Source organism: Homo sapiens, chromosome 3, assembly GCF_000001405.40.
Source record: "Homo sapiens chromosome 3, GRCh38.p14 Primary Assembly".
Taxonomy (NCBI): domain Eukaryota; kingdom Metazoa; phylum Chordata; class Mammalia; order Primates; family Hominidae; genus Homo; species Homo sapiens.
In genome coordinates this window covers 188,725,632-188,750,247 of record NC_000003.12, presented here as the reverse complement: position 1 = coordinate 188,750,247, position 24,616 = coordinate 188,725,632, and the positions used below count along the sequence as shown (strand labels likewise).

The window sequence follows — 24,616 nt, the reverse complement described above, 5'->3', positions numbered from 1 at the left end:
TCCAAAATTCAGCAGTAGATATTGTGATTTTATTAAAAAGTGTTGATCAGGCCATACGGGCTTCTCTGTCATGAATGGGATAAAGCCCTTTGTGAAAGAGGCTTCATGCGGCATTCTGCTGGCTTGCTCTTCCACTGTCTGCCATGTGAGGAGGTAGCACAAAGCACCATCCTGGAAACAGAGAGTAGCCCTCACCAGAAAACCAAGCCTGCTGGTGCCTTGATCTTGGACTTACCAGCCTCTAGAACCGTGATAAAATAAATTTTCATTCTTTATAAATTACCCAGTCTCAGTTATTCTGCTATAGCAGCACAAAATGGATGAAAACAATATGTGACTAATAAAAGATTTTGTCCATACAGTACCTGCCTCCATGGGAGATACGAATTTAGAATATAGAACAAAAAGGGGAAAATAAAAATTATAATTAGCCTAAATTAAAATTGTGATATATAAAGACTGAAAATAAATTTGCAGATTCACATAAAACTTCATAATTTCTATATTCTCATATGAATCTTATAATAACTAAAAGCTAAATGAGACAATTATCATCTTCCCAACACATGAGTTAACATAGGAATGACCTTGTACATGACTTGAGAAGTAGGTAGCAGAGTTGCAACTCAGCCCAGTCCAGTGATCTTTGAGCTGGACCATACCATATTACCTGCATAAATGGAACTGGCCCCAAAGATGGTGCTATTCTCCCCTGACACTACTTCCTTAGGAAGCCAATTCATCTTACTCGGGATTCTGTTTTACCGTTTAGTAGCAAAGTATCCATAATACATTGTTAAGAGGATTTCAAGGGTCATAGGACGTGTAGAAAATTTAGAAAGTAGCCATTCCAAACTCTTCATTTACAGACTCTATAACAAAGGGTAAGAGAGAGGCAATTCATTGATTAAGATGTCATAGCAAGCTGTCAGGAGAGATGAGACCTGAGAGCCTTTGGGCTCTCAGTGTAGCACTCTCTCAAGATGCACAGAGCTATCTCCCAGGTGCCCTACCTCAAGTATCAGTTTCTTCCCACTAGTAGGCGCTGTTGCCTGATTGTGAGGAATTTCTCCTTCTACCTAACAGTAGATTTTCATTGTAATTAGGAGTATTGCGTGGGACACTAAGTCTACAACATGGCTTCTGTATGACTCCAGAACAAGGTGAACTCCATTACAATTGCAACCAGTAGAGTCATGCCATTTCTCTCTGAAACACTGTGGTGTTTTGGATTTGTACATCTCAATGTTCTGGAAACCAAAGGAATGGCAGTAGGACATGGGGTACTGAGTGGGTTCTGCAGAGCTGTGTTGAGGCAAAAAAAAGTCAAGGCTCTGGTCCCTGTTTGACCATAGCTGGTATAAAATGATTGCTTTATACGTTGGTATTATCTAGAACATTCATTTAACAGAAACTTTCCAGTTTGGCTTTGTTACTTCTTCGTCTTATTATTATTATTACTTTGAGACAGAGTTTTGCTCTTGTTGCCCAAGCTGGAGTGCAACGGCACAATCTTGGCTCACAGCAACCTCTGCCTCCCGGGTTCAAGTGATTCTCCTGCCTCAGCCTCCCGAGTAGCTGGGATTACAGGCGCACGTCACCATGCCCAGCTAATTTTTTGTATTTTTAGTAGAAACGGGGTTTCACTATGTTAGCCAGGCTGATCTCAAACTCCTGACCTTGTGATCCACCTGCCTCAGCCTCCCAAAGTGCTGGGATTACAGGTGTGAGCCGCTGTGCCCGGCCTGTTGTTTATTATTTTTTTTAAACACCACAGACTACTCAAGTAGTGGTAAATCTGTGGATAGAAGAATTGAGTTTTGATTCAAGCTGCACCACATGTATGAACTGTGACTTTGAGTAAGCTATTTTACCCATTTGAGCCATAGGTGGAAGAGAAATAGTAATCTCAGCCCTAGGTACCTCAAAGTATTACTGACAGGATACAAACATACATTCATATATATATGTATGTATGTGTATATATGTATGTGTGTGTGTGTATATACATGTGTGTGTATCCTGCCAGTAAAATAAGTATACACACATACAAATAAAATGCAAAGAATTCCTCTAAAATAAACTGCTGTAAAATAAATTTTCTTATGAATATCTATAAAAATCACCAGTACGATGGAGCAGATGTACTTATATATCTGGGGCTTCCATCAGCAATGACATTCTAAAAAATTTCCATGCAAAATCCACAAGGTAGAATGCAAGACTGATTTGAGTACACTGACTTTTAAGATATGAGTACCTCACAAATACTGGCAATGCCATTTAGATTCTCAGTGGAGTGGGCAGATGGGGCCACAAATACTTGACACCCGATGTTACACTGGAGCTCAGAGGGAGACCCATGAGGCAGGACCTAAGGCCATTTCCATTCTTGTATCTCTGAAGAATTCTCATTGCTAAACTGTAGTCTGCATCTGATTCCATCTCCAGCATTCGCATAGCAACACTAAGCTGTCTGAGCGCTGAAGTGACGTCTAGGGAACAGTTATTAATACACATATGTGTGCACACAGTATGTGGAAATATGCAAGATTGAAAGTGATTAGTGTATTACTTTTAGGTAATACTTCCCACTGGGACTATGCTCCTGGAAAAATTCCTCTCTCTCTCTCCATAGAAGCTTGCACAGTCATCTGCTATCACTTACCAGAATGTTTGGGATAAAAATGGTGTCAATTTTAAGGAAACATGCTTCTCAAATTTCTTTGTTAACATTTGAATAAAACATTAGAAGGTTCTTACTTTTCTCCTCTCGTTTTTCATTCAGAGAATAAGCCCCTTCAGAATCTTACTTTGTGTGAGAGAGAAAATAGTCATCCTTCTTTGCTACCTCCAGACTAGCAGAATCACTGGGTTTTAAAGTAGAAAAGTTAAAATTCCATTCTAATAAAATCCACTGGCTCTCATTACTTCTCAGTTGCATGGCAATGCTTTATAATAAGAACACAGCAAGAAATCATATTTCTACCTGTAAGAGCTTATAGACCTGTGAGATCATCAGAGAGAGCCACAGAAGAAAGGCATGGAAAGCATTATAGGAAGGATTTGGTTGGGAATGAAGGTACACTTTCTGGACCAATGAAAGTTTTGCGAAATGGAACATTGCCTAGGAAGCCATGTACCTGAGCTGGCCACATTTTCTCTCTGTGACTCCCTTTTATAAAATAAATACACCGAATCAAGTGTTTTTCTAAGGACCGTCCTAGTCTTCAGTTTTTATTATGAGATAAATTTTATAGGATAAACACACAAACTAAATTTTGATGAAGGCAGATTGAGGGTAAGGAAAATCCACTCTGTGGTGGTTTCTGGGCAGCCCTTCAAGACTTCAAACTTATTGACACATTATAAAAGTTACAAAATGAAACAAATGAGAAAACTGGGCAATAGGTAATGTTTTATTTATGCCAGTAGAGTATTTCTGGGTGATTCCTCTTGTACTAATGTAGTTTCCATACTTAGATTATCACATTTAGTAAACATATATCCAAATCCCTAATAACTAGTGAGATAAGTCAAGAGCTTTCCCTTACTAAGGCTTATAGGGAGCTCCCAGAAACCATGTAAGTCCACAGAAACTGCATAAAAATGGATACGCTCAGTAACGGTTTCTTGCATCAGCTATGTGATTTTATTTGAAGTTCTGTCTTGGGCAAGAGATACCACACAGGGAGAGTGCAAAGTTGAAGGTCTTCAGCAAAAATTTGGACTGTAAACACAGCTTGGCATTATCAGCATTCTGTTAAGTTCAAAGAAGAGATAGTTACAACAAATACAGCTTGCTTTATTTCTGAAACAAAACTGTGCACATATTTGTGGCCATACTACTAATTAACCTGTAGATTGTTCCTTTCATCTATTCAGCGTGTTTTTCTGCCCCCTGTTACAACATGTTGAGGTTACTTTTCCCATATGGACTATATTTAAACAGTTCCCTTATAGGCATTAGAGAGAGAATGGTACAAATGATTAAGGGACTAGAGAAGCCGACTGTACAGAAAGATTAAAGAAACCATATATGTACATATTAGGAAGCTGACAGGTGACTAGGGAGTGCCATAATGATGGTCTATAAATATCTGAAAGGGGTAAACACTGAGGAATAATTTAGCCTGGTGCAAGTGGTACAACTCGGAGTGATGGTGTCTCTTAAAGAAAAGAGAAGATCATTATTAAAGAAAAAAACTTAGATGCGTAAGATGCTATCCATGCGATATGGGAAAAGGGGAACATGCAGGCTAGTTGTAAGTGCAACGGGATGAGAGTCAGAAGACATGGGTCGGCTCTACCATGTATAGCTGTGTAACCTCGGAAAGGGCATTTAACCACCACGGGCCTCAGTTCCCTCTTTTGGAAATTAGAGCGTGGAATAGAATTAGAGGCTTTCAAAGTATGCTCCAAAGAACTCCACAGTTTTGAGGATCCTGCTCTATTGATCCCCACCAACAGAGGAAGGAGAACGAAGGGGAGTGGTGATTGCCTGGAGCCCCTTAGTCTGTTTCATTTCTATCCCATCAGCTTCCTCAGAATAATTTCTGAGGGATTTATCAACTTAAAAAAGTTTGTAAAAAATTTACTGACTTAAAGTTTGAAAGATGTATTAGGGGTCAGCTTTAAATCCATTCCTATTCAAAAGACTTGAGGTAGAAGACTCATTGAGGTTGTTTTCACAAAAGGCTTACTGAGTGGTTAATTATGGGCCAACATAGCAGACAGAGCAGTAAGACAGAAGTGCTGTTGCCCTCATGGAACTCACATTCTAAGTGCAACTCTTAATATAGGATGTCGAAAATTCACAAATGAATACAGGAATGACTTATGTAACTTCCTGTAAGATTGAAAATAATTAACTCAATTTAACATTTACAGAGCACCTATCAATCTTTAATACTTGTGATAGATAATGTAGGGCATAAACATTAAAATAAACAGATATCAAGTGCTTACTAGACATCAGGCACTGTATGTCAAACCAGGAATATAAAGATGAGTAAGACCTGACACCTGCCTTCCCTAGAACAAATGGACATCTATAATTACCATATAAAATAAATGAAGGCTGTTAGAGAACCACACAGAAATATCTTGAGAGTCATATAAGAAAGCTATTAATTCTTTCTAGAAAATGAGCTCAAATTGGGGGAGGGATGCTGATAAGAAAAAACTTTAGAAAAAAGAAAGGAGACTCAATGAAGGATAGGGAGAACAGTTTACCCTGTTCTCCCTAAAAAGCAGGAAGGGGGAAAGCATTCTAAGTAAAGGAAAAGCCAATTAACAGAGAAAGGAATGAAGTTGTGTGGAACATTCAAAACCAAGAGGGCAGGTAGGAATGGGAGGAAAATCGGACTGGAGTCCTGGGCCCAAGACAGACTAAAAAGGATTTCCTATGTGAGACTAAGAAACAAAATGTGTTTTATAGGCAGGAAGATACCAGTTTCAAGTAAAAAATGGGATGACCATATATACATTTTAGCAAAATCTCTAGCTATAATGTAGAGGAAAAACTGAAGAGGGGAAAGGAGGTTGGGAGGCCAGTTGTTTGGCCATTATAATGTTTCAGGCAAGGGGAGCAATGGGAGTAGAAAATAATGTTTTTGACCTTTTCCTATGCCACCTATCAGGTAGGCATTATCTTCTTCTATCTGCACATTAAGACAAGGAGGCTCAGGATAGTTAAATAACTTGTCCAAGATAGCACAATGAATACATGCAGAGCTAAAATTTGCACCTTAGTTTGCTTGATGTTAAAGAATATGCTCTTTTCATTACACTTGTTTGCAAAAAATGATATCAGCAGTTGGCAGTGCAGTTGCGGGAAGGGGACAGATTCAAAGGTTGTTTCAAAATACACAGTTGAAGAGGACACATTGGATGTGGAGAAAATGAAAGGTAAGAAACAGCTTCCGCATTCCCATTTTGGGCAATTTTGTGGATGATCCCAGAGATCAATATAATAAAGTTCAGATTTTCTACAGCTTCCAGTTAAACTAGGGGTAGTGGAAAAATTCTTACTATGCATCTCTCATTGTGCATGTAAGTGTGTGGATATACACCTTTGTGTACACGTGTGTAAGTAAATGGCTGTGTATATATGTTTGTGAGTATGTATGACTATATGGAAGTGTATGTTTGTGCGTATGGTTATAAGGAGCTTTAGCAGCTGTAAGTAGAATATCAAACTCACCAAAAGAGATTATTGAGAAAGTGTGATAAAGCAAGTCTGACATCATCCAATTTCTACTACAATGCAAATGCCCCTCACAGCCTAAAACGTCATCAAACTCTAAAGAGAAAGAAGACGCATGCCAAACCAGACTGACCAGACCAGATGGCAAACAGATATCTGAGGCTCAATAATCTATGAATCAAATTTAGAGTAAATGAGGATGGGAAAACTGGCCTCTTACCACTTGCCTATTCATTGCCTATCTTGTGATTAATTTTCCTTGTCTTCTCTTCTAAATTTTTTCCTCTTTGGAGACATTCAAGCAGAGTGGTTGGGAATTCTGTAGGTAGGACACAAGCTTCAGAGGAAGTTGGAGTACACTGCCTTTTTAAGGATCTTTCTGGCTCTGAAATTCCATGACAAATCACTTCTGCTTGTACACTTCATTGGTTGCTTGATTGATCATAGGAATACTGTTGAGACTTAATGTGCCCTTCATTTAGCAATAGACTCCCTAGATTACCCTCTTAATTTTATCTGTTAACACACACAGACTGGAGTTTATGGCTTGGCTGGTGTTCCTGGCTACTCTCTTACTCTTGAGTATGTCTGTACACTTTTGCTCTTTTAGGCCTAAGGATTCTCTTCCTCTGGGTGGACACGCTTAACCCTAGTACAATGTGAAGTGGAACCTGGCCTCAATTTCGTCTCAAATGTCCCCTCAGCTGTGTGCCTCCTGCTACACCTGCTATTAGAGTCAGCTGCATTTGATCCCAAGTCTGCTCCTACTGTATGATCTTGTCATTGTAATTATGTGAGTTAACCAATTATTATGTAAATTAATACAAATAAAATGTTTTAATTTCTTAAAATAAAATCTATGCAGAATGCTTTGGAAAAGTTCTATAAAGATATTTCCCTCAGAAAAAGCAGGTAAATGTTCTATGAGGTATGGTTCAGCAAACTTTAAAATATTAGGACCAAAAAATGCACAAAAATCAAAGCACTATGTACACACACTGTTTCACTGTTCTCTGCACTCACACTGTTTCAGGTTCTTGCCATCCTTTAAAGAAACCTAACCTGGACCTTGTAGAGGATCCATTAGGACATACTCACTGTGACTTGCAACAAATACAAGGCTGACAGCCCTCGCTCAAATATGCCTTGGCCGAATTTCAAACCAATTGGTGAAAAACACTTTTTCTTGTTTATTTATTAAAACCACCTTTGTTGAGGTATAATCTAAATGCAATAAATAAAACCATTTTAACTGTACACTTTGATGAATTTCAATACATTTATAAGACTTTGTAACTGCCTCCATTACCAGGATCTGGAACATTTCCATCACCCCAAAAAGTTCCCTATTTGTCAGTCCCCATTATAATCAATCCTTTCCCCACTCCCAGCCTCAGCAAACCACTGATTGCTTTGTGTCAGTATAGATTAGTTTTGTCTTTTCCAGGATTTTGTAAATATATAATTCTAAGGTAGGCAGTCTTTTTTAGGGGTGGAGGTAGCTCTGGTTCCTTTTATTCAGCATCATATTTTTAAGATTTTTTTCATGTATTTGTGCATATTAGCAGATCATTTATTTATTACCGATGAGTCATCTTTCATTGTATAAATATAGCATAATTTGTCCTTTCACCTGTTAATGAACATTTGGGTTGTTTCCAGTTTTTGGCCATTATAAATATAGTTGCTATGAACATTTGTGTACAAGCCTTTGTGTAAAAAAAAGGTTTCATTTCACTTGGGTCAATGTCAAGGAGGAGAATTGCTGGGTCATATGTTGAACACGTTTTATTTTTAAGACACTACCAAACTGTTTTCCAAAGTGGCAGTACCATGTTACATCCTCAACTGCAGTGTATGAGAATTTCAATTGCTCTGTCTTTTAGCTAATGCTTGGTATTGTTAGTCTTAGCCACTCTCATCAATGTATGGAGGTACCTTACAGAGTTTTATTTTGTTTCTTTAATGACTACATATATTGAGCATTTTTCATTTGCTTATTGGTTATTTGTGTATTTTCTTAGAGAAGTACCTGTTCAAATCTATTGCCTATTTTCAAATCTGTTGCCTGTTTTTAAATTGCATTCTTTGTCTTCTTCTTGAGTTTTAATAATTATTTCTATATTCTGGCATAAAATCTTTGTCATATACACATACTGTACACATATTTTCTCCCTGTATGGGACTTGCTATTTCATTTGTTATGGTGTCTTTTAAAAAACAAGTTTTAGAGTTTTTATAAAATCAAATTTATCATTTTTAACTTTATGGTTTGTGGGGTTTTTTGTATACTCCTTAAGAAATATTTGCCTATCTAAGGTTGTAAGAATTCTTTTCTTTTCTTGGAAAAGTTTTATAGATTTAGCTTTTACATTTATTTGTTCCATAATATGTGTTTGTTCCATAATATGTGCAAGGCCTTTACAATAATAATTAAAAACACTGCTGAGAGAACCAAAAAAAAAAAAATGAAGTAAAGGGAGAGATATACCATGTTCATGCATTGAAAGACAATATTGTTAAAGTGTCAGTTCTCCCTAATTTGGTTTACATGTACAACAGAATCCTTTATTGGTATAAATTGACAAGCCACATCTAAAATATATATGGAAATATAAAGGATGCACAATAGTTCAACTAATTTTGGAAAAGAGGAACAAAGTTGGAGAACTTAGACCACCTGATATGAAGATTTGCTCTAAAACCATAGCAACCAAGATAGCGGAGTACCAGCACAAGGATAGATACAAAGACAGAAGTTTAAAACTTAAATTACAGAATCTCCCTTCCCCCCCCAATTCAAAGGAAACTTTGAACCTCGGTGGGACCAAGTGTATCAAGGAAGGGTCTACTTTTTTTTTTTTTCATAAATTTCATGGTTTTAGTTTAAATAACACGTTTCGGAAAATACTGTGCTTCCTTTACTCATTTTCTCTCTGAAGATATTAAAAACTAGTGTTTTAATTTCTTATAAGAAGTGGGGGATTGTGCATATCAGTGAAACACACTGATGCTTTTTAAATTTATTTTCTCCTCCAGAAAGGCATTTGCAGATATCTTATCAAATTAATGTTTTTGCCTCAAATTTGCTTATTTGCTAAAAATAATAATTGTGCATGGTCATGGAAACTGAGAATAGGCACAGGATCAGCAAAGATATTTCACATTTTATCAGGAGATGAGAATTCATGCCTGACTTTTGATGGAACCCATATTCTTTATTTTTCCTGGTGGAAAATCATTTTGCAACTCATAAGAATCAAACTTAAGTGTTTCACTATGAAGTAATCTCTTATGGATCACTCCAGAAAGATAGGAATTTTACAACCTGCTGAGCACACATCAAATAAGTTTAACTGAACAATCACAAGCTGAAGACAAAAGACTTCTAAATGGTCCTTACCCTATGAGTTCAGGCTTATTTTTCATCTCTTACCAGTTATTGTGCCTGAAATATTTAAAGTAAGTTATGAGGTTCTGAAGTATAAAGCACTTCTTATAAAAGAATGTTCTTCACTAATAAGTTAATGTAATTTTTCTAACATTGTGGAATAAAATATTCATAATGGATTAATATGAAAGGATAGAGACACAATTAAATGTAATTTCTCTTTATTAAAACTGATGTAGGATATTGGGCTTGGATAGGTATGCTCCAATAGAGAATATGAATGTATCAGAGGATAAAACACACTACTTTCTTGCAGTCCTAAAATGTTAGAAGTACACTCTAAAGTCCACAGGTAGATCCATTTACTCATTGGCACTGTTATGAACAAATTAAAGTTCACAGCCCATTAGGCAACATGGTCCCTATTGCAAAAGCACCATTTAGTAAACTAGGGAAACAGAGTAATTGACTTTCTGATGCCTGTGTTGATATCAACATTAGCTCTCACATTGACAACCTGGCTCCCTTCTTGCCATACAGTCTGTTAGTACATAAGGGGATACAGTCTGGCCTTCCATACACATGGATAACACTACTGGTGATTTCTGCGAACATATTCTTGAGAAACAAAAGGCACATTATAAATAACACCTTAGTATCAACAAACTCAAGACAATCATGGCCAATGAATGACAGTCATTGGTCATTTAACTTCACAAAATATGAGATTCAGTAGACCAAGGAAGTAACTTTCAGAGATTATTATAAAATGGCAGTATTCTCAGTCAAATTGTGTCATTATCAAGCATGCATAAGGGCTCTTTCCAAACTCTGGCTTTTAGCAGTAGACAGAGATTGAATGACTGCAGCTCAAAGACTGCAACTACAGACAATTGTAAATTCTTGTCTGTAGCCAGCTCACAGATAACACAGTTATATCCATGCAGAGTTAGCTTATCAAGGATATTTTTGGAGTAACTAACTCCCTGGAAGGGAACTAATTTTTATGAGTTAGATTTCTAGATTTATCTTATAACCCCTCCTCCTTTTCCCTGGAATTTTATCTCCTAAGGAATTATACACTGACCCATCACTTGAAATTAAAAGCCCTTCATTATAAAACTATAAAATAAAACCCTTATACATCTTCTAAGAAGCAGCAAAGACTCTGGACTTGTTTTCTACCTGCCCCATGTTTTCCAATCTCTATGCCTTTGCTTGAGTTATTTCTGCATTCTGGATGCAATTCATTTCCACCAACGACAATCACACCTTATTATCCAAGGCCCATTTCAAATGCTATCTTCTCCAAAAAGGCAAACAAGATTTCAGTCCTTTCCTTCTTGTTTCTTCTCTTGGTCACTCCCTTCCTTCCTTTTCTTTTTCCAATGAATATTGCAGTGTTTCCCTTCTGTGGATTGCCCGTTTAAAACTGTGGTCCATTTTTTCATAGGGTTGTTTATAAAGCCTTTCTGTATACCCCCCAAAGCATACATAACTTCTTCCTTCTTCAAATTATTACAGAAATTAATTCTTTTCAAGCAATCATGTTAATTCATTTTGTGCTATAGGCATTTATCTAATTGCCTAATCTCACCTACAAGATCTTGAGGCATTTTTACAGTAGAAACTATGGTCATTTGTCTATGTACTCCATGTGGATCCCAGCTAATGGCTGATATTAGAAAGACTTCAAATTGGTATATGCAGGGGCAAGCCATTATTTCCTAAAGTATTTTTTTAAAGACCAATCAGATAGCGAGTCATCCTTCACAAGGAGTCCGATATTTACACCAGCTAATATTCTCATAGTAAGAGTTGAAAGGTGCATCATTAATTGGTTTATAGAAATTACATCTTGCTGATGTCAAATAAAGGGACACAGTGAATGCAACTTTCACAACAAAAATCAAATACACATAGCACCAGGGATCCAATTAAGTATTCAAAGTTAAGAATTAAAGGACACTTAGTTGCTGGGTGTAGCAACTAAGAGACTTTTTACATTCGTGATGAAAAGCAGCCCACACTTTATCAAACGACTATGTTTGAAAATAGGGATCCATTGCACATATATAATATAACCACAGTAAATTAAAGAGCTTTAAGTTTACCACTAGGGTAGAGTAAGATTCTCCACACAGAATTCTAAACCATATTCCATTAAACAATTAGGAACAAGGTTTCTGCAGTTACATTGTCTGCCTTTAAAATTTGGCTCTGTTACTTACAGGTTTGTATAACCTATCTGGGTATAAACTACCTCATCTATACATGGACAATAGTTTCTATTAAATTAGAGTTGCTGAGGAAATTATACAAGGCAACACATATGAAGAGCTTTGGATGTACCTAGCATATCCACCATAAATAATACTGTGTTTATTGTTGTTTTCGCAAAGGAGTCTACAGATTCACAACGTGACCGATCATCATCATTTGAAAAAAAACACTTTCGGGGACTCATTTGCTACAGAATTTTGTTTTTCAATAATGACAGGTCAGGGGATGGTGGACTAAGAAGACAATTGCATTCCAATATCCTACTCAAATAAAAGCACATCAGTACCAAAAATAACAAGTAACAGAAAAAAATGTAGAGGGGAAGAGAGAAAGGGGATGTATGTGGGAGAAGATGGCTATAACAACCAAGATATTTCAATATATGTCTGGAATGCAGAAAGCATATGATAGCATGTTGATTAAGTGGCATAAGCCATATCCTAAGCAGAATAGAGCTGAGAAAGAGGAGAAAGGAAAGGCTGCTTAAAGACCATTTAAACAGCACAGATTTTTCTCAACTCAGGGCATCCTGTGATGCTTATAATGACAATCTAAATCACAGGGTTGGAAATGGTGGACTAAAGAATCTACAGTTCTCTATGTAGGGGACACTGCCACATTCCCTAAGGCTATTAAACATTCAAAAGTCCATCACTGATACATTCAGCAGCAAACCGTAGCCAAAGCCAGCCCAAACTCAGCCTGGTGCTGAGGTGGTATCTGAGTCTAGAACTACTTAAGACCAAAAAGAACACACTGAATATTTGCTGCCTCCATCTCACAACTGAGGGCGAGTGGGAAAGGGGGATGGTATCAGAAGTTTCTTAGCTCTCTTCCAGAAGAGTAAAAGAACAACAACAACAAAAAAGGGTGATCAATGGAGCGGAGTTCTAAAATTCATCCACGGGAAATTTCATCTGGGCTACTAACCTGTCTACCAGGGTTGACAGGCCCATGGGTACACTAGGATGGGCTCTTTGATAAATTACTGGCTCATAAAATCTTTGAGCCAGAAGAGAGAACCTCAATAAGTCTCCTTGTTTCTTTGTGACAGAGCCAGTGTTAGTATCCACATTGCCCAGCTCTCAGTCCAAGGATCTCTTCACCACTCCATTCACAAATTTCTTCCCTTGTTCTTAGAAACTTTCCTATTTGGCTAATTAGTTCTATATATTTCTTTTTATAAAAAAGTCTTTTATACTTATGAAAATAACACATGTTCATTGTACGGAACTTGAAAATTAAGGAAAATTAGGGGGGAAAATAAAATCACATGTAATCTGATTATTGGGAAGTACTCCGTTTATATTTTAAGGTGTTTTTTAAAAAGAAATTCTACCCATTTTTTTATATAAATTTGGCAATACTGAATATACAAATTTAATGTATTTGCCCTCACAAGATAATATTTTCCCAAATCACTTAAGTTCTTTAAATATAGTGTTTTGGCAATATCTCATTATTTGGGATTGATAATATTTTGTTCAGCAGATTCCCTTTCTATTTGCCATTATAAGTTTTGCATTAGTGAACATTTTCATAAATAGATTTTGTTCAAATATATATTTCTTTAGGATAATATAGATATATATTTATATAGAAACATATATCTCTATAGATGTCTATGTATCTATCTATCTATCCATCTATGTATCTATTACTGATAAATCCATCCATCCATCCATCCATCCATCTGATATTTATCCATCCATCCATCCATCCATCTATCTGTCTGGATTGACAGATATGAGACATTTAAAGTTCTTGAGAAATATTGTAAAATAACTTTCTAAAAGTTTTGGGCCAATTTACGGTCTTACCAGCAGCAAATGACAGTAGTTTCTTTTCCTAAATCTTTGCTAATTTCATAAGTGAAAAACTAGATTTCAATTATTTAAATTTTCTTTTCATACTAATGTGAATAAAATTTTTTTTAAGTTAAATATCCATTTGTATTTATCTACTTAAGAATTATTTACATTCCTTGTCTTTCTCTGTTGGGATATTTGTATTTGCATGAAAATTTTCATACAGTTGTTAACCCTTTGCTTATCATAGTCATTGCAAATATTATTCTTACATATTTTTTCTTAATTTTATATGATATTTACATACACTTTAAAATTTTTGTTTTAAAATTTATTGATAAATTATTTTGTGATTGATCTTTATGTTTTATTATAAAGCACAGAGAAAATCTGTTCTCAGTACAGATCAGATCAATAAAGTTTTTAAAAAGTTGTTAGCTTCTAAACATTAAGTTTTGCAGTCTATCTGGACTGTGCGTATCATTTAAGTGAAGGGGCTGTGTTTTTTGAAAACACTACTTTTTTGATGAGCCACAACTCTTATTTTTAAAATAGTTTAAACTTCTAGGAGAAGTTTGTGGCTAGTCCTGTCTCATTCTTCTAATTAATTCACTCCCTCCATTCAGTTCCTCCAAACTACCTTGTCCACACAGGTCTTTCATAAATCATAATCCCACTAACTCTTGCTGGGACAGCTCAATGGATCAGTTGGCTTCTCCCATGTCTAGTTTTGCTGCCCAGCCCCGTTGTCACTTGTTTAGACACACAACAATTACCACAGTGTTAGTTTGAAACTCCATATGTCTGACATATCATCATGAAAATATTTTGGGGACATTGCCCTTTCTCTGTAACTTTAAAATATGTTATTACAGGCCAGGCACAGTGGCTCATGCCTGTAATCCCAGCACTTTGGGAGGCTGAGGTGGGTGGATCACCTGAGGTCAGGAGTTCAAGACCAGCCTAGCCAACATGGTGAAACCCCATCTCTAATAAAAATACAAAAAAATTAGCCGGGCACGGTGGCAGGCTCCTGTAATCCCAGCTACTCGGGAGGCTGAGGCAGGAGAATTGCTTGAACCCAGGAGGCAGAGGTTGCAGTGAGCTGAGATCGCACCATTGCACTCCAGCCTGGGGGATGAGAGCAAGACTTCGTCTCAAAAAATAATAATAATAATAAAATAAAATTTTTATTTTATTTATATTACACTACATACAGTAAGAATTAAATCACAATAAATGTGACTTAACCCGGCTAATTCATTTAGCATTTTGTCTTTTCTAACTATAATAAAGCTATTGTTGATATAATTAGGAGAGCTCTTCTGAAACATGCATCAACATATTTAATTGCCTGAAACAAACACAGAACAACCACTGAGAAACAAGCTAAGAAAACTCAATGTCAGTGGGTCAGTAAATGATGTATTATACAGGCAGATCCGGCTTAACCAGAAGAATCAGGGTCAACAGTATGTTCTGGGTATAGATCAGTTGAGCTATGTGTTAAAAAGGAATTCTGCTTATGATCAACAACGACGTGAATACTCCAATGTGAACCACATCTGCACATAATTTTCAAGGGTGAATGACTGCTGGGTTCACGTGTAGATTATGGCATTCTGGAATTCAGGGCATGGGGTGACACCGAGTGTCTCCAATTTCAAGAAGGGCTCAATACCCTCAGGCTCTTGACCATATGCTCCCCAAACCTATCAGTGTTCCTCCTGGACTCTTTTCAAATTCAGCAAATGCATCCTTTCCATTGAAGTCATTGGGATGGATGACAATCTTCACAGGTCATCTAATCCGTGCACCTGCCTTCAGGCAGGGCTGCTCCTAAAACCAGCCCAGACAGATGGTTCTTTGCTGTTCTCAAAATTCCCCAGGGAAGGAGGTTCCACAGGCTGTTACAATAATCCATTCCCATGTCTCCCAGTCACCCCTAGGACACTGAATCCTAAGCATTTAGTTAATAGCAGGTGGCAATGAGACAACTCTTTGTTGCTCCCTGAGGAATTGGAAGTTGGCCAAATTAGCCATGGGGCAATTGCCAAAGTGTACAGGAACCCCAATGCTACTCTGAGCTTCACAAATAGCAAGTTAAGTGGGGGTATTTAGTGTTCCCAGCTGACAAAATACCAAATTCAGCAATGAACTAAACAAGTTTCATAATGCTCAGTCAGGAATTTACATGTCACTAATAAATTTCAAGACTTAAATTCTTTCAAATTAAAAAATAGAATAACATTTTTTGATAAAAATAATTTAGAAATAAGTTTCTGAATAATTCTTATGTGGAAGAATGACTGAATTATAACACCTTTATGATAAATTTTAAAAGATATCCAAATGGGATGCAGATAAAGTCAAGGAGAGGCATTTCATCAATTTAAATGCTTTTTATTAGTAAACAGAAGAGACAGAGAAATATAAATGAACATTCAGAGTAAGATACTACAACAATGAATAACTAAATAAACTTAAAGAAGGATATATAAAATAATAAGGCAAACGTTAAAAGTAATGAGTTAGAAAACAAACTCCACACACACACATATACACACTTCTTAGGAAAGTTCCACTAAGGAGGAAAAAGGAAAAACAGTCAAAGCAAAAGGAAGCTATGAATATGGACAAGACAGATATTTTAAAAAGTATAAGTGAGAAATACGCCTATATCATAGTAACAACAGTAGACAATCTTGACAAAATGCATAATTTTCTAGCAAAATATAAACAGCCACATGAATTCCAATAGAAGTAAAACAAAACAAAACAACCACAAAAACACTTCAGTAGCCTAATAATCACTGAAGAACCTGAAAACGTTGTTAATATAAGTTTGTTAACAACTGAATTTGGTAAAGTGTTTGGATATGAGCAAGCAAAGTCAAGAGTTTCCTTTAAACTAGCAATAACCACACATCAACAACAACAAGCAAAAAGATTGCACAGTAGCAACAAAAATTGAATTATCTTGGAATAAAGTCCTCATGAAAAGAAATGAAACTAGAAATAATTGTTGAAGTGCATGAAACAATTCAAATAAAGAGAGAGAGTACCATGTTAGAGAAGGGGGGCTTAATTTTTCAAAATTGATTTTAGTACAGATTTATGAGATAGCATGTAGAAAATAAATTATTTTTCAGGGGTATTGCAGAATTCTTCTGTTTTCTACAGAGGCTTTGTATTTTAACTAAAGCATACTAGCGTGTACATGTATGGTATATAAATGTACACACACACACACACACACACACACACGTTTTTGGTGAAGTAAAGTAAGATTCCTAAGATAGGTTGAGAACTTTTGACTGTAGACGTAGTCACTCTGCAGCAGAGAAATAAAGAAATGTTCCCTTTAGACTGTACCCATCCACAGTCACATATGAGACTTGGATTAAAATTTACGACTACACAAGGTAATTACCCCCGAAATAATAAAGTTCAAATGTGGGCCTGACTATGGCAGGAAGCGGGCAGGAGCAGCCAGTTCCAGCCCTTTTTCACTGAGTTCGACCTGCACATGGGATTCTTCGACTTTGATGCCCATTGCCAAAGTGGTACTGGCCCAACTTTGCTCTATTGTCCAAGCAGAAGAAATTACCACTAAGGTGAGATGACAGAATGAATAGTCAAACAAAAAGAACTTTCTCAACTCTAATACTTTATAGTTGAAAGAGCATTTTCACTGGTATTATTCAGTTTAATTTATACCCCAATACTCTAAGAAGATGTATTTTCATTTTAATTTAATGAAGAAATATGAAACAGTTATCTTAGAAATTTCTGTCATTTTTCTCTTCATTAGGATATTCTTTTTTTTTTTTTTTTTTTTGATAAGAGTCTCACTCTGTCGCTAGGGCTGGAACACAGTGGTGTGATCTTGGCTCACTGCAACCTCCGCCTCACGGGTTCAAGCGATTCTCCTGTCTCAGCCTCCCAAGTAGCTGGGATTACAGGTGCCCACCACCACGCCCAGCTAATTGTTGTATTTTTAGTAGAGACGGGGTTTCACCGTGACCCGCCTCGGCCTCCCAAAGCGCTGGGATTACAGGCGTGAGCCACTGCGCCCGGCCAGGATATTCTTTTTTGACCAATATTAGTTAATCTAATTGGCACAGTTAGCATTAATGTGGCAATGTACAGTGCACAGTGGTTCATGGAAGAGGGAATTTGGGGATGTAAATGTAAGTGCACCCTTAAGACTATCAAAACACAATCCCTTATGTCTCCTCCCATCTAGATCTTAGAATAATTTTATTCATTTCATTTCTGAATTGTGTCTGACCTGGTTCTCATTGCGTCAGATAAACATTTCCATGGGGGAACCATAATTGTTCTCTAACTCAGGAAGAACCTATTGCTTTGACAAACATGTCCTTTCCCATAGCATCGGTCACAAGTTTCCTTACTTAATTCCCTTTTGTGTATTCCATGAAAGTTTCTACTGTAACTTCTGACCTAACTATTCTCAGGAAACGAAAGACTACGCAAGATTAGGATGGGAGTCGGGGTGAACAGCTTTTCCTCCTGGCCTCTTTTCTTTATGCGTATACTCCTTAACACATCTATTTTTCCCTCATCTTTCTTTGCTCACTCCTCTCATTCATTTCTAACACCATTTCTCTGTAAATGAAAAGAAGGAAAGAAAACGAGATAGGGAAGTAGGAAAAAGGAAACCATGAAGGAAGAAAGGAGGAGCCTAGATGCATTAAATAAAAGATTAGACAGGCCAGGCGCGGTGGCTCATGCCTGTAATCCTAGCACTTTTGGAGGCTGAGGTGGGTGGATCACAAGGTCAGGAGTTCGAGATCAGCCTGGCCAGCATGGTGAAACCCTGTCTCTACTGAAAATACAAAAAGTTACCCGGGCATGGTGGTGCACGCCTGTAGTCCCAGCTACTCTGAAGGCTTAGGGAGGAGAATTGCTTGAACCCAGGAGGCGGAGGTTGCAGTGAGCCGAGATCGCACCACTGCACTCCAGCCTGGGGGACACAGTGAGACTCCATCTCAAAACAAAACAAAACAAAACAAAAAAAACAAAAAAATAAAAGATTAGACAAAAATGACCAATGCCAAGGAAAATTATAGCTCAGCTTCTAATAACTTACCAGCTCAAGTGCTCCATCAAAAAGATCAAGCTTCCTTGGGAATCAGCAAACATGCCCCAGATAATCCAGGAGCTTCATGTGGTTGTTAAATCCGAATGATCTTTCCCACAGTGGAAATACCAGCACCAAAAAAAAAGGTGGAGTGAAATCTCAAACTTTCCTTTACCCCAAGATTAGAATCTATGCAAAGGGTAGGGCCTCTTAAAAAATAGACTTATTTAGGTCCCCGCCATGCATGTTCCCAGGACCAGGATTGTTATGTCTAGAAGATCACTGAAAATGTATCAGAAGAGCACTGTCACAGGCAGCGTAATGCCTCCCAAAGAGGACCATGTCCAAATGCTTGAAACCTATGAACATGCTACTGTATATGACAAAACGGACTTTGCAGATAGGATTAAGTTAAGAGTTTTGAGATAGGAAGAGTATGTGAGGTTATTCAGGTGGGTCATATCTAATCAAGTAGGTCCTTACCAATTGGAGAACTTTTCCCAGCTGGGGCCAGACACAGAATGACTATGAAAAAAATGGTCAGAGGTGCTATGTTACAGGCTTTGAGGATGGAAAAAGAGGGCCACAAGTCAAGGAATGTGGTCAGTTTTTAGAAGTCAGAAAAAGCAAGGGGGATTCTCCCCTAGAAAGAACCTTCAGAGACAAATGCAGCTTTGCTAACATGATGGTTTTAGCCAGATGAGACTCATGTTGAACATCTAACCTACAGAACTGTCAGATCACAGATTGTGTTGTTTTAAGGCCTAAGTTTAGAGGTATCATAAACACTTATTGACACAACCCCTTTTAGTTGATAAAATTTCTCCTCCTATCATGTCGATCCAGTTTGAGAATGACAAAGGGAAGAAAGGGCTTAATGTATTTGAACAAAGGTTAAATATGATAAATTCACTCATACTTCCTTACCAGATTCCCAGAATATTTTCCTATTAGTGTTTCTCCACTTACAAGTGAGTACCAAGATATCTCCAACCTTGGGATAATTCACTCAATTCATAACTACCAAACACTGTAAATACGTGGTACAAAAAGGAAATAAGGTTTCCAGAGTTAATGGAGAAAAGTGTTAGCCTGGGCACTGGCACTTGGTGGCTGTGGCTTACACTCCTGTTTCAATCTGGGCACCATTTGCTTCATCAAAATAAATAAATAATGAAGTCAGAATTAGGAGATGATTTCCAAGGTCCTTTCCATGGTAAACACATACAACCTCTTAAGTAAGCATCAGGATCTTGAAATATTTTCTCCTTGAAGGTGGGACCAGCACAAACAATGCACATATGCACATACGCACAATGATTTTCTAAAGATCTACTAATTTCTTAGAAAGTTGAAAGTAATCTTTAAATCTATATGTGTGTATATATGTACTTTTAAAACATCATGGCCATTTTTTAGTTGAATCTGGTGGATTATTCACATAATAGTATTCTTTTTTTGGAGACAGGGTCTGGCTCTGTTGCCCAAGCTGGAGTGCAGTGGCATGGTCACAGCTCACTGCAGCCACCAAAAATTCCTGAACTTAAGTGATCCTCCTCCCACCTCCACGTCCAGATTAGCTGGAACCACAGCATATGCCATCATGCCCATCCATTTTTTTTTTTTTTCACTTTTTGTACAGACAGGGTCTTACTATGTTGCCCAGGCTGGTCTTGAACTCCCAGGGCTCAAGCAATCCTCCCACCTTGGCCTCCCAAAGGGCTGGGATTATAAGCGTGAGCCACTGTGCCTGGCCACATAGTGTTCTTACAGTATTGCTGATGTGTGAAAATCTAAACACACACAAAACACACCAAAAATATAGCTGGCTTGATTTGCATTTCTGCATACCTAGGCACTTCCTGTTTTGAACTGAAAGAGAACAAAAGAGAGCAATATCATGTTTCTTATCCCACAAGCACTTTAAATCTATTCCCATTAAATTTCCAGCCCCATTATTCCCTATTAAGTGGCTTTATAAGGTTATCCAAGTGGTATACAGCAGTAGAAATGGTTATCCCTTCAGTTTTACATAAATCACTAATCTGATGTTACCCATTGTTTGACAATAGTCAACAATTTCCCATTTTGCACAGGTAAACATCCAAAACATCCTTCCTATGACTATCACACAAGATCTTTTATCACTGAACTCCAGACTCTCTATCCTTCCTTGTCCCACTACTTGTCCCTCAACTCAATGTGGCTTCAGCCACAGAGAAGTTCTGTTAGGAAGTAACATCTTCCTGTTCCCAGAATACCATGTTTTCCTACCTCTATACCTTTGTACATGCTGTTTCTTCTGTATCTAACATCTTTCTTCTCTTTCTCTACTTGGAAACATTTTATTCCTTCATGAAGACATCAGATATCACCTCTTAATCTCCCTAGGGAGGTTTTTCCTAGAGCTCTCAAACATTCCCTCTCATAATCATAGGTACAGAGCTCCTTTATAACATTTATCACATGGGAAAAGGGATTATCATATATTTTTTATTCTCTAACCTATAATGGTCTATGGACTTCTTGGGGGCAGAGACCTCTAAATTTGTTCATGGTACATTTTTTTTTTTTTCAGAAAGCACTTATAGTAATTCTAATTCACCCCACCTAAGACAGAGATGGACATATCATAGGCTCTGCATAAATATTTACTTAAACCAAATAACCTTATAATCTACTGTGTCATTAGTAGACATACCAACTCACTAGAGAAGGGAGATCACATAAAATCTGGAAGATAATTTGCTTGCTGGGTTTCACCATCTCTGTTATTTGTTCAGTTATCAAAGGAACAGAAATTGAAAACAGACACAAAAAAGCTATGCAACCCACAAATCTACTATGAAAATGTGTATTCCATATTGATGAGCTGTTTCTTAACTAAACGAAGTGAATAGGTATAGATCTGCATAATATAATAAGCTTATTATCTCTTGGTCAACTGGTTTGTTGTAGGATCCCAGGCAAATTAATCACTCTCTTCTTTTGTATTACTCCAGAACCATCAAATAACATAGTGCATTCTACAAAGGCAGTTTTAAGGAATAAACAAGAAAATCACTTAACATTATAAGTCAAAAGACGCAGGTTCTTTTGCAGATAGTTATAAGTGACATTTTAAAAATCTTTAGAAAGTGATTGTCACTCTTCATTCTGTTTTCATGTTTGTGATGTAAGATTGGACTAGATCAGTAATTGTCAACTTTTTTTGTTATCTCATCACACGTGGGGTATGGCACACTCCATCAGCTAAATTTTCTCCGAGTAATAATATTTTCTCAGTGGATCTAGGGTTATGTCAGTAGATCAGAGTTTCATTGTAAATACAAGGTAGATGTGTGTGGGTGTGTAGTTTTGAATGTGATAAAGCTCCCCCAGGTGATTCTGAGTCTTTATGCTGAGAACCAAGAAACTCCTCAGGTTTCCTCCAGCCTTAACAATCTATGATCTTATAATTCTATGAATGAGTATTAGGAATGACACAGAAAGGATAGCAGTGTAAAATGCAGACTGGTTGCAGAATATAGTAGCTAGTTGAGAAAAGCATCCTCATTAAAAATAGGTATTTGCTGAGCAAAAAGAACAGAGACTTGGCTTATGAAGATCTAGGCTCTTGATATCCGTATAACCTTGGACAAGGTACTGAACTGCCTAAGACTCAATTTTCTCATCTGAAAAATCCGGATATGAATGCTTACCTGTTGTGAGCATTAAGTAAGACCAGCTATGTGAAGTGTTCAGCATGCTGCTTGGCACATGGTCAATGCTCAATAAGTGGCTGTCAACAATTATGAGGCCCATTTGTGTTAGACATACATATATGAATAAGTGTCCCTGTCTTTCAAGGTTAGGGTTCTATTTCTGGTGTAGAATTTTACATAACTCTTCTCTAGACTGGATTGTCTAGAACTTCTATGAATGAAATAAATATCAAAGTTATTTTAATATATTTTATAATTATTCAGTGACCCAAGAAAAGTATTTAATATTTCAACATCTTAACTGGAAATCATCTTAACTAAAACACAGAATATCTTACCCGTGGTCATCACCAGAAATTGGTCTGAAGTTTATGTTCAAATACACAAAACCTAAGTAGCCTGTATCATAACGTTTCAATACTCTCAGTACTGCTGAACATTAACTGTGTGTCAGCCCACATCTGTAAGTAATTTGCATGTATTATTAACTTATTTAATCCTCCAAAACCCCCTATCACAGACACTTTTATAATCATCCCTACCTTGCAAATGAGCAAACTGTTGCAAAGAGAAGCAAAACTTGCTCAAGGTTACTGTGGCAAAGTGGAAATTCAGACCCAAGCTACTTTGGGCTTTTCTGGGATGGTGATAAGGGTAAGATCCTTAGACATGAAGTTAGAGCACCTAAATTGTAGACCTACCTGTGTGTCCTTGAATAACTGACTTCCTTGCTCGGCTGAAGGTTTTTCTGCCTAAACTAAGAGATTTGGATTAAATCTAAGGTCCCATTCTGTGACTTTCTAATTCAAACTACACAGCATTTTGAATGATAAGAATTTGTGTCTGAGAAAGCTCCCTTTTTTGATATTTACTTTTTTTAGCTGCTGTTTTCTTTTGTTTTTCCTGGCATGTGTTATGTTGGCAACACAAACTATTATGCCTACATCTATGTGCTTGTAAATGTTTATGTTGCTATTGCTGTTTATTTGCCTTGTTTACGAGAAATAATAATTCATCAAACAAACAAAAAATGGAAAAGAAACAAAATTAGGCAGACCAGATTTCACCCATAATAGAGACCTCACAATTATAGCGGTCACACTATTCACCATAATACTTCCACTCCAATACCACTGTATCACTCACTATCCCTTTCTCCTGCATAATTTTCTCAATAGGATATACTGCTATCTGACCTGCTATGTATTTTATTTATGTGTCATCATTTTCTTCTCACTGGAATGTAAGCCCCATAAAAGAAGCTTTTCATCTGCTGTAGCACCAATGCTTAGAACAGTGTGTACACACAGCAAGTGCTCAATAAGTATTGATAAAGAGAGGATCTCTGTGGACTGATGGCATCACCATTACTGAACTCCTTCTCTTTTTCTCACATCACTTAGTGATGTCATTACCCACCCAAGATAGAGGCCCAGGAATAAGTCTCAGCCCATCCCTCTTACGCCCCTTTGAAACCCTTCTCTAAATTGTCACAAGATGACTATCTTGGTTCCAGCCCTTATTCCCCTTAGACAAGTACAAATGACACCCAGACTGATCTTCATCCCCCAAATCTTGTCCCATTGAACACCTCTCCCCACAATAGTACCCAGAGTGATCTTTAATCAATATCTTGTGGTTCCCTTGTTGAAACCCTTCATGGAGTTTCCACACTTTCAGGACAGACTCTAGATTCTTTAGTAAGAAATAAGAGGCCCTCTTGATCTGGCCACTAATCATTCATTTAGTCTCATTTCTCCTTCCAATATTCTTTGGCAGTCATATTGCACTTTTTTTGGTGTTGGTCTCTATACCTTTGTCCCTATTGAATTGTTTGTCTGAAATGCCCTTGAATTCATGGCTTACCTGAAAAATTCCATTAATATTCAGTCTTAACATGATCTATGTCAGAAAATCTTTCTCCACTTTTCCATTCATAGTAAGCCATTCTAACTTCTTTCCTCCCATATCACCAAACTCCAGCAATGTATCATATTGGAATTGAGCTATTTGTAAGCACTTCTGTCTATATTTTGTGGACTAATGTTTAATGGAAATGCTTGGAACAATTGTCTGGCATATCATAGGCCTTCAATAATTATTGAATAAATGGAG

At 37.1% G+C, this 24,616-nt stretch overlaps 1 protein-coding gene across 52 annotated transcripts in view; it reads right to left on the bottom strand.

Annotated features, from left to right (window-relative positions):
* Positions 1 to 24,616, bottom strand: part of LPP (LIM domain containing preferred translocation partner in lipoma) — a 737,651-nt gene that overhangs the window by 140,424 nt on the left and 572,611 nt on the right. The window contains exon 8 of one of the 52 annotated variants that reach the window (XM_017006381.1): positions 3,630 to 3,760. The exons of the other annotated variants lie outside the window; for them this stretch is intronic. Coding sequence (XP_016861870.1) covers positions 3,753 to 3,760 — 8 coding nt within the window. The 3' untranslated portion in view covers positions 3,630 to 3,752. Of the gene's footprint in view, positions 1 to 3,629; positions 3,761 to 24,616 lie in introns of those variants that run through there. 52 annotated transcript variants of the gene reach the window in all.